The sequence below is a fragment of the Homo sapiens genome, chromosome 7, assembly GCF_000001405.40.
Source record: "Homo sapiens chromosome 7, GRCh38.p14 Primary Assembly".
Classification (NCBI taxonomy): domain Eukaryota; kingdom Metazoa; phylum Chordata; class Mammalia; order Primates; family Hominidae; genus Homo; species Homo sapiens.
In genome coordinates this window covers 117,210,171-117,232,335 of record NC_000007.14, presented here as the reverse complement: position 1 = coordinate 117,232,335, position 22,165 = coordinate 117,210,171, and the positions used below count along the sequence as shown (strand labels likewise).

General features: G+C 41.8%; 1 protein-coding gene across 17 annotated transcripts in view; it reads right to left on the bottom strand.

Annotated features, from left to right (window-relative positions):
- Positions 2,160-22,165, bottom strand: part of ST7 (suppression of tumorigenicity 7) — a 276,676-nt gene continuing 256,670 nt past the window's right edge. For 15 of the 17 annotated variants that reach the window (NR_161420.1, NR_161421.1, NR_161422.1 and 12 more), the window contains 3 exons: positions 13,160-13,252; positions 10,274-10,413; positions 2,160-2,574 (listed from right to left, as the gene is read on the bottom strand). Coding sequence is in view for 11 of the 17 variants with exons in the window: in NM_001369607.1 (NP_001356536.1) it covers positions 2,479-2,574; positions 10,274-10,413; positions 13,160-13,252 (329 nt within the window). In the remaining 6 variants the exon portion in view is untranslated. Of the gene's footprint in view, positions 2,575-8,428; positions 9,476-10,273; positions 10,414-13,159; positions 13,253-22,165 lie in introns of those variants that run through there. The other 2 variants (NM_021908.3, NM_001369604.1) reach the window with 1 other exon arrangement.

The following is a 22,165-nucleotide window of genomic DNA, read 5'->3' as shown; positions in this document are numbered from 1 at the left end:
CACCTTCTGCCATGATTGGAAGCCTCCTGAGGCTTCCCCAGAAGCAGATGCTGCTATGCTTCCTGTACAGCCTGCAGAATCGTGAGCCAATTAAACCTCTTTACTTATAAATTACCCAGTCCCAGATATTTCTATATAGCAATACACGAATAGACTAATACACTCCTATTAGCCAATGGACTCATTTCCTTCAACAATATTACCCACCCTGTCATTTCCTTCAACAGTATTACCCACATCTGTCATCTGATTGTGTCTACATCTGTCACCATCTTTTTTCCATCTGCACTTCCCATTAACTCCTCCTACCCCTCAAAGCCTCACCTTTCCATGAAATGGCTCTAAAATCCTAACTATTAAATTCATTAGGCACTTTAAAATCCTTATCTTCCGTATCTTTGCTGTATTTTCTGCAACTTGTTTTTTTTTTTTTTTCTTTTGAGACAGGGTCTCACTCTGTCACCCAGGCTGGAGTGTAATCAGGGCTCACTGCAGCCTCGACCTCCTGGGCCCAAGTGATCCTCCCACCTCAGCCTTCCAAGTAGCTGGGACTACAGGCACATGCCACCATGCCCACCTAATTAAAAATTTTTTTTTGTGGAGCTCAGGTCTTACTATGTTACTCAGGCTAGCCTTGAACTCCTGGGCTCAAATAATCCTCCTGACCTGGCCTCCCAAATTGCTGGGATTACAGAAAACTTGGATTTTCTAACAACGATGTCTTTGGGCATTTCCACTTCCCACTGCCTATAAGCTCTTAAACCTTCATTCAAGGATTATCGCAATCTGGAGTCCCAACTTCGGTAGGTCGACTTTGGACTTTTGTTTCCTCATCTACTAAATCAAAGAATCAGATTCTCATCATTTTTTCTTCTGGCTCAAAATTACATTTCCAAGCCTTCCCTGGTCCTTCTCAGCTGGAACCCATCTTCCTCCTCTGAATATGGGTCAAAGGTTATTTATACCTATCACGTATCGCATCAATTCATCCAAGAAATCATTTGCACATCCCCTTTATGTTGAGAGTTGTGTCAGAGGAAGAAGAGGGAAAGAGATAGACCTGGCCCCTGCCACCAAGAGCAGATATCCACGAGACAGACCTGGCTCCTGCCACCAAGAGCAGATATCCACAAGATAGACCTGGCCCCTGCCAAGAGCAGTGCTACCAGTGTGTGTACATGGAGTTCAAGCTCTTATGAGATACTTCAAGAGCCGGAGCTAGCTACATATCCCATTAGGGCTTTGTACAAAGTAGGTACAAAGAAGGGTTTGCCAAAAGCATAAAAAGCCCTTGTGCACCTAAATGTTACCTGCCCACCTGACTATGCTCTTGGGGCCAGCAGGAAGATCCCCTGAGAAGGAGATGTGGCCAGGTGCTTTCCCCGAATACTGCTTATTTTAACACTAGTGGGGAAAGACTTCAGATTCTCAATAAGGGGAAAAACAAGCTACATAAAGGACAGGCCCTTTGTTTTTAGGCACTGGAGTGAGATTTTAAATAGTGGTATTTTTCACTTTAGATAGAGGATTCAAGTTTATTTATTTTTCTTTTCTTTTCTTTTTTTTTTTTTTTGCTTAAGTAAAGCCAGATGCTAAGCAAGATATGAATCATATGGAAAGCTTTTAAAGGTGGTGAGGACAAATGATCACTTTGGTTCAGATCACTAAAATACTCAAAGAATGCTCACACTGAAGCATCAGGAATGCAAACATGATAAAAAATTTAAAAGTACCCTTACGAGAAAACATTTTAAAAATGGCAATGACAGTAAACTGGTCAGGTTCTACCACAGACTGTTGGGTCTGCGGCTTCTTATCAGGAGTTTTCTCACAAGAAGTTTTCAAACAGCAAAACCAAAAGGATTCCTGGAACTACAGTGTTGAACACTATTCAGTAAGTAGAGTCTCTGAACCAGAACAACCTGCCATGGCACACACATTTTGCTTCATTCATGCTTCCAGTGATTCCTCTTGCGAGCTTTTTCTGTGCATTTGGCCTAGAAGGACAGTTTGGGGTTGACAATGATGGTCCTGTTGAACCCAAGAGATTCCATTTTCCAAGCCTCTGCCTATAAGGGGTTCTCAGGGCCTGCTGAGATGTGTTCCATCAGCACAGAAACCATGATGTGGCATTCAGTAGATCCAGGTTCCCAGGAAACTCAAGGTAAATCCAAAGGTTTATTTGGGACATCAACAATTTTAGGGTTGGAAGACACAGGAGGATACAAATGATTGCTGTAATACACAAAAGTTTTATTTTTGACTTTCTTCTTTTCTGAAGGCAAAATAAAATAGAACTGAACATCAGTGAATTTTGTACAACAAAAACAGCTTTTAATATGGAATAGTCCATGAACATTTTAAAATCTCGGAATGGCTTCCCTTTTTCAAAGTCATGCTTTCTTGCGGTCCACAAGGAGTTGGCACAGAGGAGATGGTGGCAGCGGCGGGTGAGGTGAGTGGAGGACAGGGCTTCTCTCAGATCCGTGTTAGCTGGTGCCACAGACTGGATGGGAGGATGCTCTCCACTTTCTCCATGACAAAGTTTAAGGGGGCAAACAAAGTGCTGAGGAACTGCAAAGAAACCAGACAGACACAGAAGTCAGCAGAAACCTTGTTCAAGACTATAAAACAAACCTCTCCACCCACGCTTGCAGCTTAAGTCTCTGCATTACGAAAGTCTCAAAAGGCAACCATTTCATCTTTATGTTTACAGGAAACATCAGCTGATGGTCAAACCTGCATTCCAGTCCTTGGCCCCAGCACTGTTAGATAAGGGGGAGAAGTGTCAGCTGACAGCCCCCTCACTCCCCTGACAGGTGGCCCACAGTCCTGAGGTCTTCCTGCTAGTCTTTAGCATCTGCCAGCTGCCATGCAGATGACTGGTGTCGTCAAACAGGAATGACAGATTGGTGGCAAGTGGGCACAAGAGTTAAAAAATGGTGACAACTTAGACCAGCTGCTCATCTAGCTGGGTGTAGAGCTCACTTTAAATGGAAATGGCAATTTTACAGGTCAAGTGTGTTGTGTATGAATTTCTTTGCGGTCCTACTGCCTCCCAGACACCAGCGTGGGCTCCTTTCTGAGCCACATGTTTAGCAGCATGCCTGGGACCCTGGGAGAAGGCGGCAAACGGGCTATTCCATGGAGGACAGATCCTTGTTAAGGGGCTGTTCCGAGTGCACCTCTGGGAACTCTTTCATTTGGTTACTAAATTCCTTTCTGCTTTTCATGTAGAGAATAAAGCTCATTAGCTGTGTCTTTTAAGAAAGCCAAGTGCTTCACATGAGATACTTATTAAAATATTCTCAAATCCATTCTAATTCTGTTCTTGTGAAGAATCAGTTTCATTCCACACCCCATCCAGCATCTGGCAGAAGAGGTGCCCTATCCCAGTCAGGGAAGAGAGAGTTGTTGGGATGGTTTCATTGCCCTCTCTCTGCTCAGAACCCAGGTATTGTCTTACTGGGGTTCAACACCTGGTTCTTGTACCATGGAGCCCTTTGTCCTAAGCCCTTGTCCATTACACAGCACCATCTACACTACCAAGAATTTCTCATAGAAGTGTAGTGCAGTGTGTGTGTATATAATGCAGAGGGGATCATAGTTCTGAGGTCAAGCAAATTTAGTATATTTAATAAAGTTAAATCAGGCTCCTTTACTAGGTAAATGTTCTGTGGACTGTGGGTCTTCGAGAAGAGGTATGGTGGGCAAGTTTCCCAAATTTGCTGACCCAGAATCTGTCCTGTTGTTTCATTTTGTTTTTGGACCAGTAGAACACACACTGGGAAGGCAGGTAACACAAAATAGCCAGATCATCAAATGCGAGATCCATATAATGCAAAATCAAGACAGCGTAAAATTTGGGATCCTTCTCCAATCTGTGTTTTACACCAATTAAATGTATTTATTTAGTAAGGCACTTAAGTGCTGGGTGAAATATAAAGGGGTGTAGTTCAAAACTAAACTCCCACTGTCAGGAAGCTCAAAGCCCAGTGATGGAGGGGGCCACGAAGATCTGGACAGAGCAAACTAATAATGAGATAGGCTGTGATGGCAATCAGGATAGAGGCCCAAACAAAGCACTGGGATTGGAAAAGGGAGAGAATCCATTCTGTTGAAAGGAGCAGGAATACTTTTGAGAAAGAGGCAAGTGAAATGGACTCCAGTGGATGCTTGGAATATCAAAAGAGAGAGATGGAGTAAGGATGGTAAAGGAAGAAATAGGAGCAGGGTGGGCCCTCCAGGCTCAATAAACAGTCAAAGAGAAATGGAAAAGCAACACTATTACCAGAAGGTAGTAAATGGTTCAGTTTAGCTAGGACAGTTAGAAGAAGTAGAGTTCAAAAGTGGCTAGAAGGATACTGGGGAGGGCCCTGCGTGTCAGGTTGGATCTGCAGTTAAGAAACAGGCAGCCATGTCAGTGCTTGAGCAAAGAGGAGACGGTGCCATCCTCAAGCGGGTGCCAGGTACATGGCAGTTTCTGATAATCTTCTGAAATTATCCTTTGTTGAGTGCACAAAACCACCCTACGGAATAGATGGCCTATCTTTTTCAGTTTAGAGCTGGATTGGGAGCACCCATGAATGCAGTTGGAAGGCATCATGGGAGACAATGGGCCTGGGAATGAGCAATTACTGCCCAATTACTCTGAAAGCATTTGTAAAATCCTAGTTATAAGAGGATAATATGGAACAAGTCTACTGATTGCATTCACCCAACATGATAGGAAATACACACATAATATGTGTACATACATAATTATATATGTCTGCGTATATGTATATCTACATACACAGACACATATATAATCAGAGACTACCAAGGCTCCACAAACCACAGCATCTGTCTATAATGCTCAACTTCATAAAGAGGAGTTAAAGTGTTACAGTGGTCTCGATAAACCAGAGATTCTGACAGGTGGTGGAAGATAGGGCTTAATAAACAAGGTGATATTGCTGGCAAAGTTATATCCTGAAGACTTGGCCAAAAACAGATTTAGAACTGTTGAAGTTGTGGTTGAGTGGGGAAGGAACTGCTGATATTGAGCCATTGCAGCCATGGAGCTGTTGCAACTGCTGAACATGAGCCAGCGCAGCTAGATAACAGGCATCGCTCAAAGTCTGTACTCTGGGTGATGCACACACACTAAAATGTGGGGTCCTCGGGGAGCCTCACCTTGAGCTGTAGAATGAATGGAGATGTTACAAGGTTGGCTTAAAATAAAGGCCTTTATTTGTTTGCTTTGTTTTGGGCACTAACCTGACTTGGATAAAAAGCACAAAAGTGAAGCCTCTGAAAATCAGGAGGAAAGCTTCATCCTGGTTGATGTCCATAAATGCTCCCTTTTCCCCATGCTGCACAGCAAAGTACTGTGGTCCCTTCTTTCCTGGATGACACCTGCCCTTCTCAACAAGGTTCCACAAGAATACGAAGCCCCAATGCTTCCAACGTATAGAATGATTTGCTTCTATCCCTCCTATCTAGAATGTTCCATCCTTGGGAGAATTCACAAAGACTCCCTTGAACTTTTTCCTAGAGGGCCTAATTTACTCTCCCACGAGCCCCAGTTGAGATGGGCTCCCTTCATTACTAAGCCACCTTCCCCCACAGCAAGCCTTCCATCCCATACCTGCAAGGAAGGAGCAGGCAATGTAGTGAGGTGTCTGAAGCTGCTAAGCCCTTTCACTTCATAACCAAATAAAAGCTCCATCAGGAGATATTTTTTAAAAAATGTCTGGAGGTGCAGACTTGCTTGGGATGCTCAGTTGTATTTCTGCGCATGTTTGAAAATCAGTCAATATTTTTTAGTTGGAGACCCAACCAATATAGAAGGAGAAACAGCAGTTTTCACTTGACTTAGGGGGAAATTTACTGCTGAAAAGTTAAGTCTGAATGAGCAACACCAAGAAAACCTGGAACAGCCTATTTATCTCGATGTCTAAAACTGTCCAGAGGGCAGAGATACATGGTCATATCTTTAATCAAAATGCCCTAGGATTCAATGAGTGTCTCGTGGTGAGAAAAAGCAACTGAACTAGTAAAAAAAGAGAACGACATTTCAATTGCCTGATCTTCCTTTTCCTGAAACACCATCACTTAGAAGGTCACGGCTCCCAACAGGCTTCATTAACATTCAAAACGCCTCTGCTTATCTGAATAACTTCCAGGTGCCCTACTGCAATCAGACAATTGACATTTCACGGTAATCAATATCAGGCTTCAAAGAGGTCGAGGACTATAAGTGAACATGAGAGTCAGAAATCAAGAGGCTCAGTCTCGGAGAAGGAGAGAGACAAGAGAAGGAAAGACAGAGGGGTCAGAATCCTGACCTTCCCACATTCTGTGAGGAGGTGGGTTTGGAATGATAACGTATTTATATGTGCAAGCTTATCTTTGTAACTAAACATTCTAGGAAGAGTTAGTCCTAAATCACTGAGGTAGATTAGATTAGGGGGAAATGCCAGTGGAAGCTGCTCTTTCCACTATTTCCCAGTGGTTCACGCTTCCCTGTGGGCTTCCTTATGGACTGCACATCATGGTCACCAAGTAAACATGCTGGAGAGTTCCCAAGCCAGCAGCTGGGGGTGGCAGTGCAATCTCTCTGCATCTACTAAAGGTCATTGTCCCAGGGACATTATCTCAGCAAAGGGCTGAGAAAATCACTTTCACAAGCTGCAAATGGTCGCAGGCAGCCTCTAGGGCAGTTGCGATAACCTGCGGGGTGTGGGGTGTGGCGTGGGAGCTTCGGGAGGGGCCTGATGAAGTGACCAGGGTGAAGATGCAGAGAAGACTCTGGGGGCAGGTCGAGGAGGCGGCGGGAGAAGGGGCTTGTCTCATTCAGGCCATCCATCTTCCTTCCCCACACAGTCTCTACAGACATTTTGGAAACTGCTAGACCTTAATGAAGGGCAAGATAAATGTGATTCTCCAGATAGAGGTTGAAATGCAAACTTATCTAAAGTACATTTGAAAACTATGGGGAGCTGACCAAACTACCACACCTTGGTAGAGCAGAAAATATGAGGACCCTAAAGGCAGATTTCTATTTTATTCAATCATTTGATGCTATACTCAAAACCAAAGCTTTGAAAACATGAAATGAGGCGAGTTGAGTCCTGTCCCACATCCTTAATGAACACCCCTCTCCGATACTCTGGAAGCACAGCTGTACGGCCAGTCCTAGAGAACACCCAGGTGTATTCTAGTCACTATCCTTCCCTCTGCATTGCCAATCCCCTTGCTGGTTAAAGCAGGCTCAGGCAATTATTCATTCTATTCAATACACTGGTTGTACATCCGCATCACCAGGGGAGTGCTTGACAACTGAGTTGCCCATGCGGACCCCAGACCAAGAAAGTTCCGGTTGTGGGGACAGGCCTCAGTAACTTTTAAGTTTTTCGATGATTCCAAGGTAGAGCCAGGGAAACCACTGATTCCTGAAAAGCTTCCACCTGAACAGCTGTGATGGCACACCATGCAGCTGCAAGTGGCTGCTCGAAGGTTCAGCTTTCCAAGCAGTGTCCCTGGAAGGAGACGGGAGAATGCCATCAATCTCCATCCTCAGAATATGCTGGGGGCTTTGTGAAAAATACAGATACCTCCTGCTAATACTCAAGATTTTGGATTTCTGGTGGTGCGGCCAGGTGAATATATAGACTGGAGGCTGGGAATCTCTACTGATTCAAAACTCCCACCAAGTGCTATTACAGTTAGTTTAATGAAGAATACTGGACTAATGACATATTTTTACAAATATGCTCTAAAAATGTTTAACAGAAAAACAGAAAACATAAAAGAGCAATAATTGTTTAATGTAAATATATTCTTATTTTAAATTTTACTAAGTCACACTCTACTCAGAGTTTTGGCAACTACTTTTACTCAGAGATTGGCTAGGGAGTAGAAGAAAATAACAAGTAGTGTAGGCCCATAAACTAAGGAACATCCAAGGCAGCAATATGGGTGATAATGGGTGTAGAAATCATGTCATGCACAGAAGACTTAAGGAAATGTAAGATATTCTACCTGGAGGAAAAAGCAGGTAGTTGGTTAGAGGTGGCCATGAATGAGTGAGCTGTCCTAAGAATTTGCAAGAGGAAGGAGGGCTGCTTGGTGTACCCTCAATATAGAATAGGAATAAGTGGAAACCAAAGGGAGGCAGATTTTTACAGTACAAGGAAAAGTTCTGAGTCATCCAATAATCAAATGGGCTTTGATGTTTATAAATATGTGAGTGCCCCATCACTGAAAGTATTCAAGATGAGTCTAGGTGACCTCCACTCAGGGTTGCTATTAAAGGCAATTTGCTTCAGGTCCCTTTCAACTCTAAGAGGCTATGATTATAAGTATACAAGAAGAGAAAAAAAAATACTAAGCTGTATCTGATTTTTCCATTGATTCTTTCTGCAGAGACCACTACCATTTATTATTTATTTAATAATCATTTATTGAAAACCTACTATGAGCAAGGCACTGTGCAAAGCCTTGGGGATACAGAGATAATGAAGACACCGTTCTGCTCTCAAGGAGCTCACATTCTAAATGGGACAGACAAGTTTTCAACAATTATAATACAGTACAATAAATGTGAGAATATACGTATTCATGGAATACTGCGGGATCATAAAGGACAGACACCTAACTCAGCTTAGAAGAACTTTAAAGAAAGCTGAGTATAAAAGAATGAAGAGGCATTAGTAGAGTGGATGAGCAGGGTGGTGACAGTGAAGGGCATTCCACGCACAGCAAACAGCACGTGCAAAGGTGCAGAGGTGTGCGAGAGCCTGGTACATCTGGGAATGGTGAGTGATCCACTATGGCTGAAGAGCAGTGACTGTGCAAGAGTTGGGAGAGCTAAGGCTGAGAGGTAAGCAAGGGCCAGATCATAAAGAGTCTTGGATGCCATGCTGAACAACTAGGACTTGATCCTGAAGTCCCTGGGAATCCACTGGAGAAATTTAAGCAGGGAAGTGACATGCTCACATGTGCAATTCAGAAAGACCATTCTTGTGTCAGTATAAAAGAAAGACGGTGGAGGATAAGACAGGAAGCAAGGAGACCAGTTAAGACTATGGCAGGAGTTCAGGCAAGAAACAACAAGGACCTAGACTAAGAGGGATGCTTTGGGAAAAGGAGGGAAAGAAGAGGTGAATCACATTTACTGAAGGCCTAGTTGCTTAGGAGGTTAGAACTGACAGATTGTGAAGGCCGAGACGATGGGATGTGGGGAGTGAGAGAGGGAAGAGTTTGGAAGGGCTGCCGAGTTTCCGGCTTGAGCAACGGGGTGGATGGCGGAGGTCAGGAATACAGGAGGAGGAGCAGTTTTGGTGGTGGGGGAAGAGGGGTGATGAGTTCAGTTTTGGAAATGTTGAGATTGAGGTGCCGGAGGGATTTCCAGTTCATCTTCAACACGCATGAAAATACTCTTGCAATTCCAGTCCCTGAACTCTGCCGAGCAGAAAATGTCAATCATCTGGAAAGGGATTAAATCAACCCAGCCAAGTTAGAAATCATCCTTTCTGATTGCACTCGCCTTGAAATCTGAATGGAGTTCCAGGGAAACAATTGATACTGTTTTCCTTATTCCTTCTGTTTGAAACTCATCTGTGGCAAGATCAGTAAACTTATCCTCAACTGCATGTGCAGGTTGAAATGGTCAGTTTTCAACAAAGAAACAATGGTTCTTGGCTGTCAATGCAGATGGCTTTTCTTATTAAAGCTCCTCTCCCCAAGCTCCTTAAAGACTCTTAATGGATTTCCATATTTCTAAATGTCATTTCAGTTTACTTCTTAATAAGCCCTTTACACCCTCTGTTCATTCCTTAGACAAGCCAAGGGTTTGCAGCCATTAAAAAAAATTATTTAAATCATCTTTGAAAATGTAAATCTCATCCTTCACTAAGGAAAGACCCACAATATCCAACGATTGGAAATAATGTCATTCAATTTACAGAAAACCGAGTAACTTCCCACACATTTTCATTTGCTAGGATTTCCTAAATCATTCCATCCTTTTGGACCTCCTGCATTTTTTGGAAACTGCTAAGAATTTGTTGTGAAATGAGGCAAGGCATGCAGTAACAACCTGCACTTTCTCATTTGACCCTTAATGCTTTGATTCCATTGACGATCATGAAAATTAAATGGTGAGCAATGATCTTTGCAGGCTCGTACCCATTTCTGTAAGGCAACCCCATTTCTCTCACGCTGCTTTTATGCCCTTGGCTTTCCCCATCCATTCCCCAAGGCCTCCCTCTAGGCAAACACTCACAGCTTTTGCGAAGACCCCCATAAGTTCCGGGAACTGATGTGTCAGGAGGGCCAGCATGGCTGTGAAGGAACATAATCCAGCAGTAAAGAGAATAAAGAAGGGAAGCTCCTTCTTTGGGTAAACTGAGACTTCATGGAAAGCTGTGGAGAAGACCAAAAGGGAAATATCAGGGCTGGAGTAAACTGCACTCTCAGGGGAGGTCTTTATGGTGGCACTGACTCCAGAGCTTGGGAAAGAGTTGGAAGCCTATGGGAAATGAAAAAATAGCACACCTGACAAACCATAGCCAACATCTGACCCAGCCTTTGGAGGCCCATCTGCTGGTCGCAAGTCTCCATCCAGCCTTCAGCACTCTAAATTGAGGCAGGAGGGGGCTGATTTGAGGGTGTCACGCCTTCATGGGAGGGAAGAGGAGCACCGCCTATGCCTAATGTATAGTATTTTTTTCTCAAAAGCAAACACAGCTGAAACAATTTGTAATTTACTCAAATTACAAAACACGTGTTCATTGTACAAAACCTGGAAAATCCAAAACCGAGTATACAGGGAAAAAAGGTATCCCGTCTATATTTTTTCCTTCCTGTATTTAAAAAATCATTATAATGAGATGATACTAGTTTCTCCTGTATTTTTTCCTGGCACCCTCTAAGTATATCAGTGGAGGGTGCCACCCTCATAGAGAGATATCCAGCAAGGACCTCACATGTAGGTCTATTCAAACTGCAAGGAGGGAAGGTCAAGACTGCTAGGGTTATCTGGCACAATTGTAAGAGACTCTTGATGACAAATACACTTCCAACAATCATCAAAAAAACAAGAAAAGCTGGTGCTCTTTAGAGTGCCCTCTATAATTTTTATATTATATTTCAAACATTGGGTTTGGGAAAACCAAAAAGCTGTGGTACAGAGGTCAAGAGAATCGCCTCCTTCTCTGTGCTCATGATGAGGCTGCCTGAGAGACTGCCTGGGTCGATGGGGCGGGCCTGCAGGAGGAGAAAGAGCCACCTGCTGGGGGTGCTGGGGGAGAGGCTGTGAAACTGCACGTGAGAAACAGCCCACTCTAACCAAGAGGACCAGAGGGCTCCATGGTCCTCAGGGAATACAAGATCTAGAGGCCTTTCCTCTACCATTCAGCTCCTATTCCTCAGAGTCTTCAACAGTAATCCACAAGGCTAATACTGAGGGTGGAGGGAATCCAGGAGGAACTCCATGCAGACGAATATGCCTACTACATCCAGGTAGGTCAGCCTGCTGGGATTCAAACACACGGAACAAGTGTGCTCAGGGCCTCGTGTGGCTATAATTATACTTTTAATGTGCAAATTATGGGTAGCACTTAAAACAACCTACCTTCTTCATATCCTCACCCTTAACATCCAACCAAAAAAGATTTTGGAGGGAGACCAGACTTGGAGCACTGCATTCAATTAATGTGAGCCATAATTTCCTATTTCAGGCTTATAAAGATTATCCCTATAAGGTTTCTCTTAAGAACTGTAATCTTGTTCTAATAACTAATCTATCCCCATGGAAACTTAATTGGACTCGATTAAAACATTTAAAAATACTGTACTTTTCAGAAAACTGCCTTTCTTACCAGAAAACCGAAACTTAACAAGGATCTCCCTGAAGGGGGAGTTGAAAGGTAAACTATGGGCCCACGGTGAGGATTTCTGAAATCAAATCTAATGTGTGAGGTACCAGACTCTTTTCACAATCAAACTCGAACGGTGAGAAACACATCACGGGGATCTCCCAGTTCCCTGAGTAACAAATCTCGCACTGGGTCTGGCTGGCAGGAAGGCAAGTGAGCAACTCCTGCTACCTCAATCTGATGACAGCCATTGAGTTCTGCACCCAGATCCCACCATGCTGGAGATTCATGACTGGCTTGATGATGCTGGTGTTTGGAAATTTACTATGCACCCAGGGCTCTAAGGTTACACTGTTCCTCTGGGGAAAGTACTTATATGTTACAGCTATAAGATATTGATATAACTGGGGCTGGTGAAAGGGCAGAGATGGCAGGAGAGAGGACAGAGAAGGGAGAAGAGCTAAAATTTGGAGCTTATTATCTGAGGGAGAAAAATATATCCTAAGTCTGGGCCACATGAAGAGCCTGACATGATCCTTGTACATAGTATGATTTGATAATAACCATTTAGCCTGAATTGTCAAAACAATGTTGTATTACAGCAAAGCAAAATAATATTTTCCACATGTGGTATGGGTCATTAGACTGCTAGCAAGTGTAAGGTAGTCGAGGGCAGGGTTTTCTTTTGTGTGCTTTCATACAGTGCTGAGGCTACACGTGTGCTCTGCACATGGTACTCCGAGTCACTACATGCAACCCACGAGGTGCTCACGGGAAATCCCTCTTGCCAGAGCACAGCCTCACCACACAGCACACTGCCCTGCCCCACAACTCCACATCTGGCCATGGTGCCAGCTTCCTGGTGCTGGCCTCCCACCCATGACTCATGCGCAGCTCCCTCTCAGTCAGCAGCTCCTCTTCAAACTCCGGTCGGTGCAGACCACATCTGTCCAGCTGAAGAGCCCAGGCAGAACCCTCACAATGGACCAGCCCAGCAGACACCAGCCCAAACCAGGGGTCTCTGTGCTCAGGCCAATCAGTACATAGGGTTTCTTCAGCTACATTTCAATCCTTTGGCATCTTTCCCTTTGATAAATTTGGAGAGACTTGGAGGAAAAGGAAGCCAAACCCACTCACATAATTCACTTTAATACATATGCTATCAAACAAGGACAGGGGTTTGGAGAAAAGTAATAAAAGACAAGGAGCATTCTAAACTTTGATATTCCCACCTCTTCCAATCCCCACCTTTCACCACACACCCTCACTGGCTGAAGAGAGGTGAGACTTACATGGAAGCAGCTCTCGGTCTGCTGTTTCTGTACAGATTGGGTAAGGATAAAATAGGTGCCCCTTTTCCAAGGGATAAGGGATCATCCGAAAAGCTGAAAACGAGAAAAAATATGTCAGAGATGTCCAATGTTTGTGTCATAACTTCCCAACTGCAAAAAGGGGCGTTTGAGCATTTTTATAACAGGGAACACTTCTACAAAGGAGGCAAGGCTTACCCCACCAAGCTATGTGCCAGATGAAATGTCAGAGATAAATTGTGATGGATTACTCACACATTCATCTCACACTATATATTCTGAGCAAACCTCACAAAACTGGGTGGGGACAGAGGTGCAGAGGGGTTGGGAAGCCATCAGTATCAATGCCCAGGGTTTCATCATCTACTAAATATTATTAAAATGTTATGGGCACTAATTCAATATAGCTAAACAAATAGTAATCATGCAAACGTGGATTAAAATGCTTCCCCAAGAAGCAAATGTGGATCGACTTGTTGGAGTTTGTATAGATGTACAAATATGAAAGGTATTCTACCAAATTGATTTAAAAAATACTGTTTAAGTGGATTTGAATTCCAATCAAGATGAATAAAAACAAAAATCTAAAAATGTATAACTCGGGAGGTGTTTCTAAACTTTATTAAAAGTTTAAATCTTAACTTTTATCATGTGGGAAAATTGATCTGGAGAGATTAATTATCTGTATTTTGATGATGTTAGGCCACCTAAATTCTGCTTTTGTAGCATCAGATGACATTAGGGCTCACACTGAATTACGGCTTTCCAATCAATCCATCCTTTCCCATGATCAAGTGTGTTACTCTCCCTGTTACAATGTCATCAGCATGTTAGTCTCACTGTTCCTATGAACAGTACTCACGGAGGTAATTTTTCTTCAACAGATGTCCTCTTACTACAGCCTGCTGTAGATATAAAATATAAAAGCTCTACCCTACTCTGGGAATGTCAGATAACAATCCTTGCCTTCATGTATGGTAGTGAGGGATGGGGGCAACATGCAGCAATATTTTTAGTTTTAAATGATACATTTCAAGGAATCATAGCTACATCCTCAGCTGTGTAACTACCAGAGCCTTCTCAAAATGCTGTCAATGTACATATTTATCTTTTGCATACTTATTTCAAACAGGAATCAGAAACAAAGAATGTTCTCCCTCACAAGAAATGACAAGGTTCCATTGTAACCAGCATCAGTGCACATATGGTATTTATTCTGGTGTCTGAATATTATTTAAAAGTAAAAACATTATGTATGTGATTCCAGCATTTGGAATGCAGTCAATCTACACCGCAGTGGTATCACTCTGAGGTTACAGCACATTGCCACGGAGAATATAAATCACTATAAATGTGGGATTAGAGCAGAGCCAGTTTGCTGGCAGTTTGCTGAGGTAAAAATGTTATCAATTTTCCTCTCATAACAGAAACCTCTTAAACAGAGATTAAAACATTAAAAACACCCCAGACTTTAACTCTGCTTAAAATGAAAGGCTCACCCTAGTTCAATCAGACCTTTTCTTGCACGCAAACAAAGATGACTTTTGCCCGCTAGAACAAGCAAGAGAGGAGTTCTTTGCACAGGTTGTTAACACACAAAGATCATTCCAAGGAACCAACATCTCTCTCATTAGAACCAGACTTTCAAGAGAACAAAACACCCCCCACAAAAACAAACAAAAACAAAAATAAGCCTTTTAGTGCCTTTATAGGATACACTAAAATCTCTTCTGGGAAGCACTGAATTTAAACTTAAACTACATTACGGCAGGATTTTAATGCCATTTCCCATAAATGATGGCTGCTACAAAAGCATCTGAAAAATGTGGAAAAACCTACGTGGGAAGTTTTTTTTTTTGTTTTTTTTTTTCCCAAATCCAGATTCTCCATGTGCAAAGGGCTGCTGGGTTGCTGTAATTAAGTATCTGTTCAAGTTCATATGATATAAATAAACCCTCAGTTTTCAAAGTGGCTATAAATTTGAATGCTAAATTTTATTCAAAATTGAAGTCAGTTTGCACTTCAGGGAGTAATTTTTTAAATGAAATACAGGAGTGCAAGATCTTGAGAGTGTTCAACCATAGAAATCTAATGGTTGGTTGGTGTCTTTTCAGTCAAATGCTACATGTTTTTCACTCCAATATTTGGCATGCATATAGAATTTTGTGCGTCAAGTTGGCCTTTTCCTTTTTCTAATTGGTTCTGGTCTTTTTTGGAGAGGTTAGAGACACAATACAACTTTAAAAAGAGTGCATGTGTACACACAGCCACCCACCCACCCACACCCTCTTCCCGGATTGCCCTCCACCCCCATGATTATAAAGATGCTTATGGTGCTCTTAAAATCTCTCTCATGTCAGTTGCCATTTGCATTGAGCTCAAAAAATAATATTAAGGCTTTTGGCTTCACTAAACAAAAGCAAATACAATTTCTGCTTGCAATTCTATCCTTTACCCACCCTGCAGTGCAGGGCCCAGTCAAGTGTGAGATAAGCAGGGGAGGTCCAGAGAGAGGCCGGTAGAGGCACTGCACAAGCCTTGCCAGCGTCACCTCCCACCTCCTGGTCCCTTTCACTGCTAAGACATGCAACTGCTCCATGACAGCCTTGTGCCTTTTGCCAAATGTCCAGAAATTTTGCGAATCTAAGTATTAAAAACACACTGATTTGGTGGTGCTAATAAGAATAGAAAAAGGTCATTTGAACAGATCTATTTTATGAATGAATACAGACCTAAAAATCCTTAAGAAAACACAAATTTCAGAGGAATTAAAAATACACATGTATTGGGTTAAAAACAAAACAAAAAAGTTAGGCCACTCAGAGTGAATACATGGTATATAAATGATATTTCTGCACTTTCCTCTGTGTGCCATCCCTTCCCCTACCTTGATTTTGGTTGTGAATTTGCTGAAGGGTCAAAATGAAACTGAGAATTAGTGAAAGAACAGATCATGCCTTCACAATCAAGTCTGTGGCACAATGCTGTCTTCTTCTATCCCTGACCAGACACATTTTCTAGGTTCCAAGTCTATCAGTGCTGTTCCCGTCAGAGATTCTCAATTGATACTGGGGGGAAAAATAAACAGAACCAAAGAAATGACAAAAGGATGGATACATGAACAAGTTAATTCCTGATTTTCCCAATGACTTCTAATGACCTCTTCTTACTCTACCTACTAGATAGGCAAGGATAGAATGTAATCAATCTTAGAGTATCTTAGATAATTTTATACAGATTATTTGTAACAGAGGGAACCGAGTTTGAATCCCAGCTCTACTTCTTATAATCAGTTGCTTGACAAAAGGTGAGTGGCTTCTTATGTGACAAGCACACAAAGGTGAGCCCAGCACACACTGCCCCTGCCCTCATGGAGCTCACCACCAAGTGCCAGAAGCAGGATCCAATCATGAAAGTAAGAGCAAAGGTTCCCACGGTGATGAATACCTCCAAGGGAGTCATGGTGCTGTGTGTACATAATGGAGAAGCGGCCAAAGTGGCATCTAAAGGATGAGCAGGACCTGCCTAGGCTCACTAGCGTATGACTTTGCGTGGGTCGTTAATCTGTGTCCCTGTCTCTTCATCTGTAAAATGAGAATACCACAGGCCTCAAAAGGCTGGTAAAGGAACTAAGTGTAACAGCAGAGGTCAAGGCATCCACATATAGTGCCTGGCTGCTCAGTAAAGGTTGGGTTTCTCTTTCCCCCATATCCCTCTCTATTAAACCTAAAGTTCCTACTTTCTCTGTCAGGTCATACTCTAGTTTATAAGTAAAAATTCTGCTTGTTTGTTAATAATTAGAAATGCAAGTGATAGAACAGGAAATTATCACCAAATCGCAAATTTCATGTCCTTATTTTTAAGTTCAATGTAGCTAACCAGCCACGAAGGCCATCTGTTTTTAGTGAGGCATTTGGGTGCAGCAATAAAGAAAATTCAAAAGTCAAAAGGCTGGGTTGTGATCCACATGCTGTCACTACCTAATTGTGTGGCCTTGGGAAAAACACTTTCCCTTAGTTGGATTAAATGATGTTCTACTCTGAAATTCTAGGGTCTTACAGCAGACTCACTAACTTCTTAGTGACCCTCACCACTCTAATACTCAGTTCCTACTGTCATGACAGATAGTGTGGATACAAGCATTACTATCTATCTATCTGATGTGAGGTGTGTGTGTGTGTATTTTTTGCTTATATACACTGTACACACACACACACACACACACACACACACACACACACACACACAAATGTTCTTCCCAAAGCATTTCAGATTCTTATTCATCTTGATCTCCTCAACCCAATGCCTGGCACAAAGGATGGACTCAATAAATATTTGTTGAATAAAGTAATGAATGAATAAACGCACAATCAAGAAGAGACAGAATATTCCTTTTTAAAAACTCAGGTGGACCCATATGATAGCCATTCACCGAGACGGAATAAAGGAAAGGAGCAAGTTGGTTCTACTGGGCAGTAGGTGGGGAACCATCATATGATATCTGGAGTCTGGCTATTAGGGTAAGTTAGCTATGACCAGCGACTTTAGCCTATCATTGCTTTCTCCGAAATTACAGAATTTAGCCTTAGATCTATGGGGGAGGGTGGTGGAATTTCTCTTTGGTAGTTCAAAAGGTGCCAGCCTTATGGAGGAAAGGTTTGGTTAGAGGAAATGCCCTAAGAACCACATCTTACAGTGAGCAGCATTTGCCATTAGGTTCAAAGAGAATAAATTAGAATCAGAATCTCATCCTACGCTTCAACAATGGGCCATTTTCCCCTCTCAAAGGAAATACTCTGCCTTAGTTCCCCTAAAAAACACCATCCTCAAATCTTATACATTATTTAGTGGATTCTTTGGGGCGGGGGGATCTCTAAAAAGAAAATAAAGAGTCTTACTTGGTCAAGTAGAAAAAAACGGAAACAAAGAAAGGCTAAGTGATTTACCCCATGGCAGACTAGCCTCCTGATATATAGAACTAGAAAATTAAAGTTCACAGTTGTGGTCGGCAGGCGACCCTGCTTTCTAAAATAAATACAGCCAAAACACAGCCTTGAAAAGATCAAGATAGGAAGGAGATAAAGTCACATCAGTATTAATACAGGTAAAACAGAAAATGTGCCATTTAAAATAGGGCCCCAGCAAAAATAAAAAATAAATAAATAAAATAGGGCCCCATAGGTGTAATACCCTAGTGAAGAAGACTCAGTTCAAACGAGACCCTTCGTTTCTATGTTTTTTATGTTCAACTCATACTTCCAGTGGTGCATGTATGTGAGGATCGCCAGAACAGTGTTTCAAATAAATGTGATTCAGATAAGGTGGCAGCTATGTAATGAACTGGAAACATATTATAAAATCTTGTAAATTAAAACTCTTGCCCTTTCTTAATTATCTTGACTTTGAGGAACGTATTGTGTAATTTCAGGGGCTGGGACAGTGATGAATCAAACATTTTGGAAACCTTTGAAATGCTGATGTATTTGTGGTTGAGGATTCAGTTTTGTTTTTTTTTTTAAAACCACCATATGTTTCAAACCCAAACAATCTCTGCCATGCATCAGCTGGACTTCGGGGGTTTTATCAAAAATGGGAGGTTTTTTTTCAGCTTGATTGGTGGAAAACTCACTTAAGTCCACTAATTAAGGATGGCTAATGTTCCAACATAACAAATTCATTAAAAAGCAAAACAAAATACACCTCCACCCCTACTCCCAGAGAACACTTTTGACAGAAACTAAGAATTTGTTTTAAATCTCCCAAAATAAATTTACTAATAATCATTTTAAACATGGAACCCAGTAAAATTAGGTACTGTTACCTTCTTCCCTGAATTTTCTTTCTAATGAAAAAGGGAAGTTGGAAGGGAGTTGGGGAATGGTCCTAAATTTCAGAATGAAGATAAAAATGATTCAAAGGAGAAAAACCTAAACTATGAGGCTGGAGATGTCAAAAGGCACCACCAAGTGGTACAATGGTGGAAGTGCAGCCTCCTTTGCTCCTGCACAGGCTTCCTATGCATGGCCAGCGGACCTGAGAGGGAGCTGCGGCAACTTTCCTGAAGTCACCAATCTGGGGTGGGTGGGGTATGGCATTCAGTATCATCAGTGCTTCACAGTTTCTAAAAATTACTAAAGTTAAGTAAATGCTACTATAAGTAGCTGAGTCAGAATTCTAATCCAGGTCATCTGATGGAAAATCCAGAGCTCTGAACCTCCATTTAATTTATAATGAACATAGATCCAGAAGCGATGTCAAAAGACTGGATAAGATTGTCTGGGTTTGGAGGGGTAATTCTTTCTTCTAAATTGCATGATATTTACAGCTTTGTTTTTTTAAAAGACCAAAAACATCTGTAATGAGATATTATTTTTTAAATATATGTGTATACATATGTGTATATATACATATGCATATTTATGCTTGTTGAAAATTTAAAAACAGAAATATGAAGAAAAAAGAAATTACTTAAAATCCACAATTGAGTGGTAATCACTTAAAACAGGCTTATTTACTTCCAGTCTCTTTCATTTATTTATACATACCTGTTATTTATTTTATAAAATTGGTCTCATTCGATATTTAAAATGTTTAAGTCAATATTAAACAACAAAATATAATTTTATATAGGATGATTAACTTTCTAAACACTATAGAGAGATCAGGTGTAATAAATACACCCTATGCTGTAAGTAGTGATGTAAATTTCAATTGTGGGCTTCCAAACAAATGTTTCAGAGATGATTAATCTTCGTATTCTTAATCTGTTGTTCAGTACAGTGAAGGAAAAGTGACCTTGGGTTTACATCCTGGCTCCCCAACAGTGGCCACAGGACCTTCAACAAGACACCGATCTCAATGAACCTGTTTCCTCTCTTGAAAAATTGAGATGGCCACCTCTGTCCGGCCTAACTCAGAATATTATCAGGAAGAGTGAATGATGTAAATGCAAAACCTCTGTAAATTACCTAGTTAAACAAACACTCTTCAAGGTTCGTGGCATTCTCAAGCATTTAGCATATAGTAAGCACTTCCACAGTCCTCTTTTCTAAAATTGAATGTTATGGCTCTCTGTGAAAACTGAATGGCAGTGTAAGTGACTTTGGCTGGGATCACAGTTACCTGATTTTCACAAACACTTCTCCAGAGTGGTTCCTGCCTATCTGTAAGGATCAACTGCAGAATTTTCCTTTCCTATAGGTACCTGGCCATACTGTGTTATGCCTGAAAACCCACCCCCTCTTTTTATCCTAATAAAGCATTCTGCCAATTTAATTTGAGAAAATTAAATCCCCATACAACTATTCTGCTTGACTTTGTAGCTCCCTGTTTCACTTCATGTTTCTTTTAATCTCATTATCCTTCCAGTTGATCAGATCATCTCCCCACTGTTATCTGACCACATGGATAACTAATTTCCAAAGAGAGTTTCCAGTTACTCTTCATAGGATTTTTATTTTTTCTATGGTGATGCCATTTTTCTATGGTGATACCATGTCTTTATCACCCTTTGCCCCACCCCTTTTTTGGGTCCTTTCTATGGGACAGGTAACTTTCTTTTCTATGAGACCCAATGGATGCTTCTATTATTATTTCTAAGATGCCAATCTACAAAAATTTGGTAAGCCAACTTGTCCATTTAATTTCTCCACAACTGACACTAGGTGAGGCCTCTCCCGTTCAACCCTGCTGGGCTTTTCTGTCTCTTTCTCATGCTTAAATAAACATGTATTGTGTTTCCTTTCTGATAGAACATCTTACATACAACAGGAAGCACAAGCCAGAAGGAATCATGACCATGCTCACACACACCCTGAGTGGAGAGTGGTGTGTCTTAACCCATTTAAATACAGTTGCTGGTGCCACGCAGGCACCTGGAGTGTGCTATTACACTTACTGAGGAGGGGCGGAGGCACTGATAAAATCCTCCTTCAAGTTATAAATAGTAATCTATAGAAGCAGAACTACTGCTAATTTGCTAAAGAAATATTTTCAAAATGAAACAAAAATTTTCAATCAACTTTGAGTCCCATCTGTAGCTTATTTTTACACTATCCCATTTTGCTCCCCCAACCTCCCTTCCTACACCAACTTGGACTCCTGCTGGGTTAGGGAAGGGCCGGAAAAGGGAGGAGCAGATTATCAAAATGAAAATGGAAGCAGTAAAGATAAACAGAGTGAAAGGATTAAAAAGACACTTGTTTGTGAGGTTGATCAGAGTAAGGGTGAGCTAGGAAACAACTGTCAGAAGACTCTCTTGTTTTAGTTTCCCATGGGTGGAAAAAGAAACCCATGCTTCATATTGTACTTGTTTTGCTAAAATTAATGCTAGCAGAATGTCAATGCACTTGTTGTCCAATAATTCATAGTCTTGACTTTTTTCCTTAATTTACATCCTCTCAAACAGCCCCACCACTTACCATTTCTTCACATGGTGTCCTTGCTTATAATAATGTCCTACTTCTTCAAGGCTTGGTTCAAATCTCATCTGACTCATAATGTTAACCAAGATCACTCCACCCCATGGACCTCTCCCTTCTGAAAATCAACAGGCAGCTGCCACGTGCTGCTGGTTCCTCTTCCCAATTAGACGACATGCAGGGAGCATGTCTCCCCCACCATTACAGCCTATTCTCCTTACATGGAATAATACTATCTATGGAGAACAAGCCCGCATTCATCTACCCAGCATTTATCCGTTAATACATGAATGCTACACCTCCTAGCAAACACCAGGGTTCAATGGCCACTGTCCTTGGTTTGAAGCATAACTGCCACACCTTTTTGGATGGCCGGTCTGGTTCCAGTGGAGGATAACTGTGGCTCTTAGCCAACCCTCCCACAAAGGCCATCAAGAAGTGGTCATCAGTGTCCAGCACGAAGCCTAACCCAATGCCAAAGATCACCATGATGCTGTGGGGCTGTCCAAGTTTCCAAACAGGGTTTTCAGGGTGACAAGGTGCCCCTTTGAAGAACATCTGGGTTCAC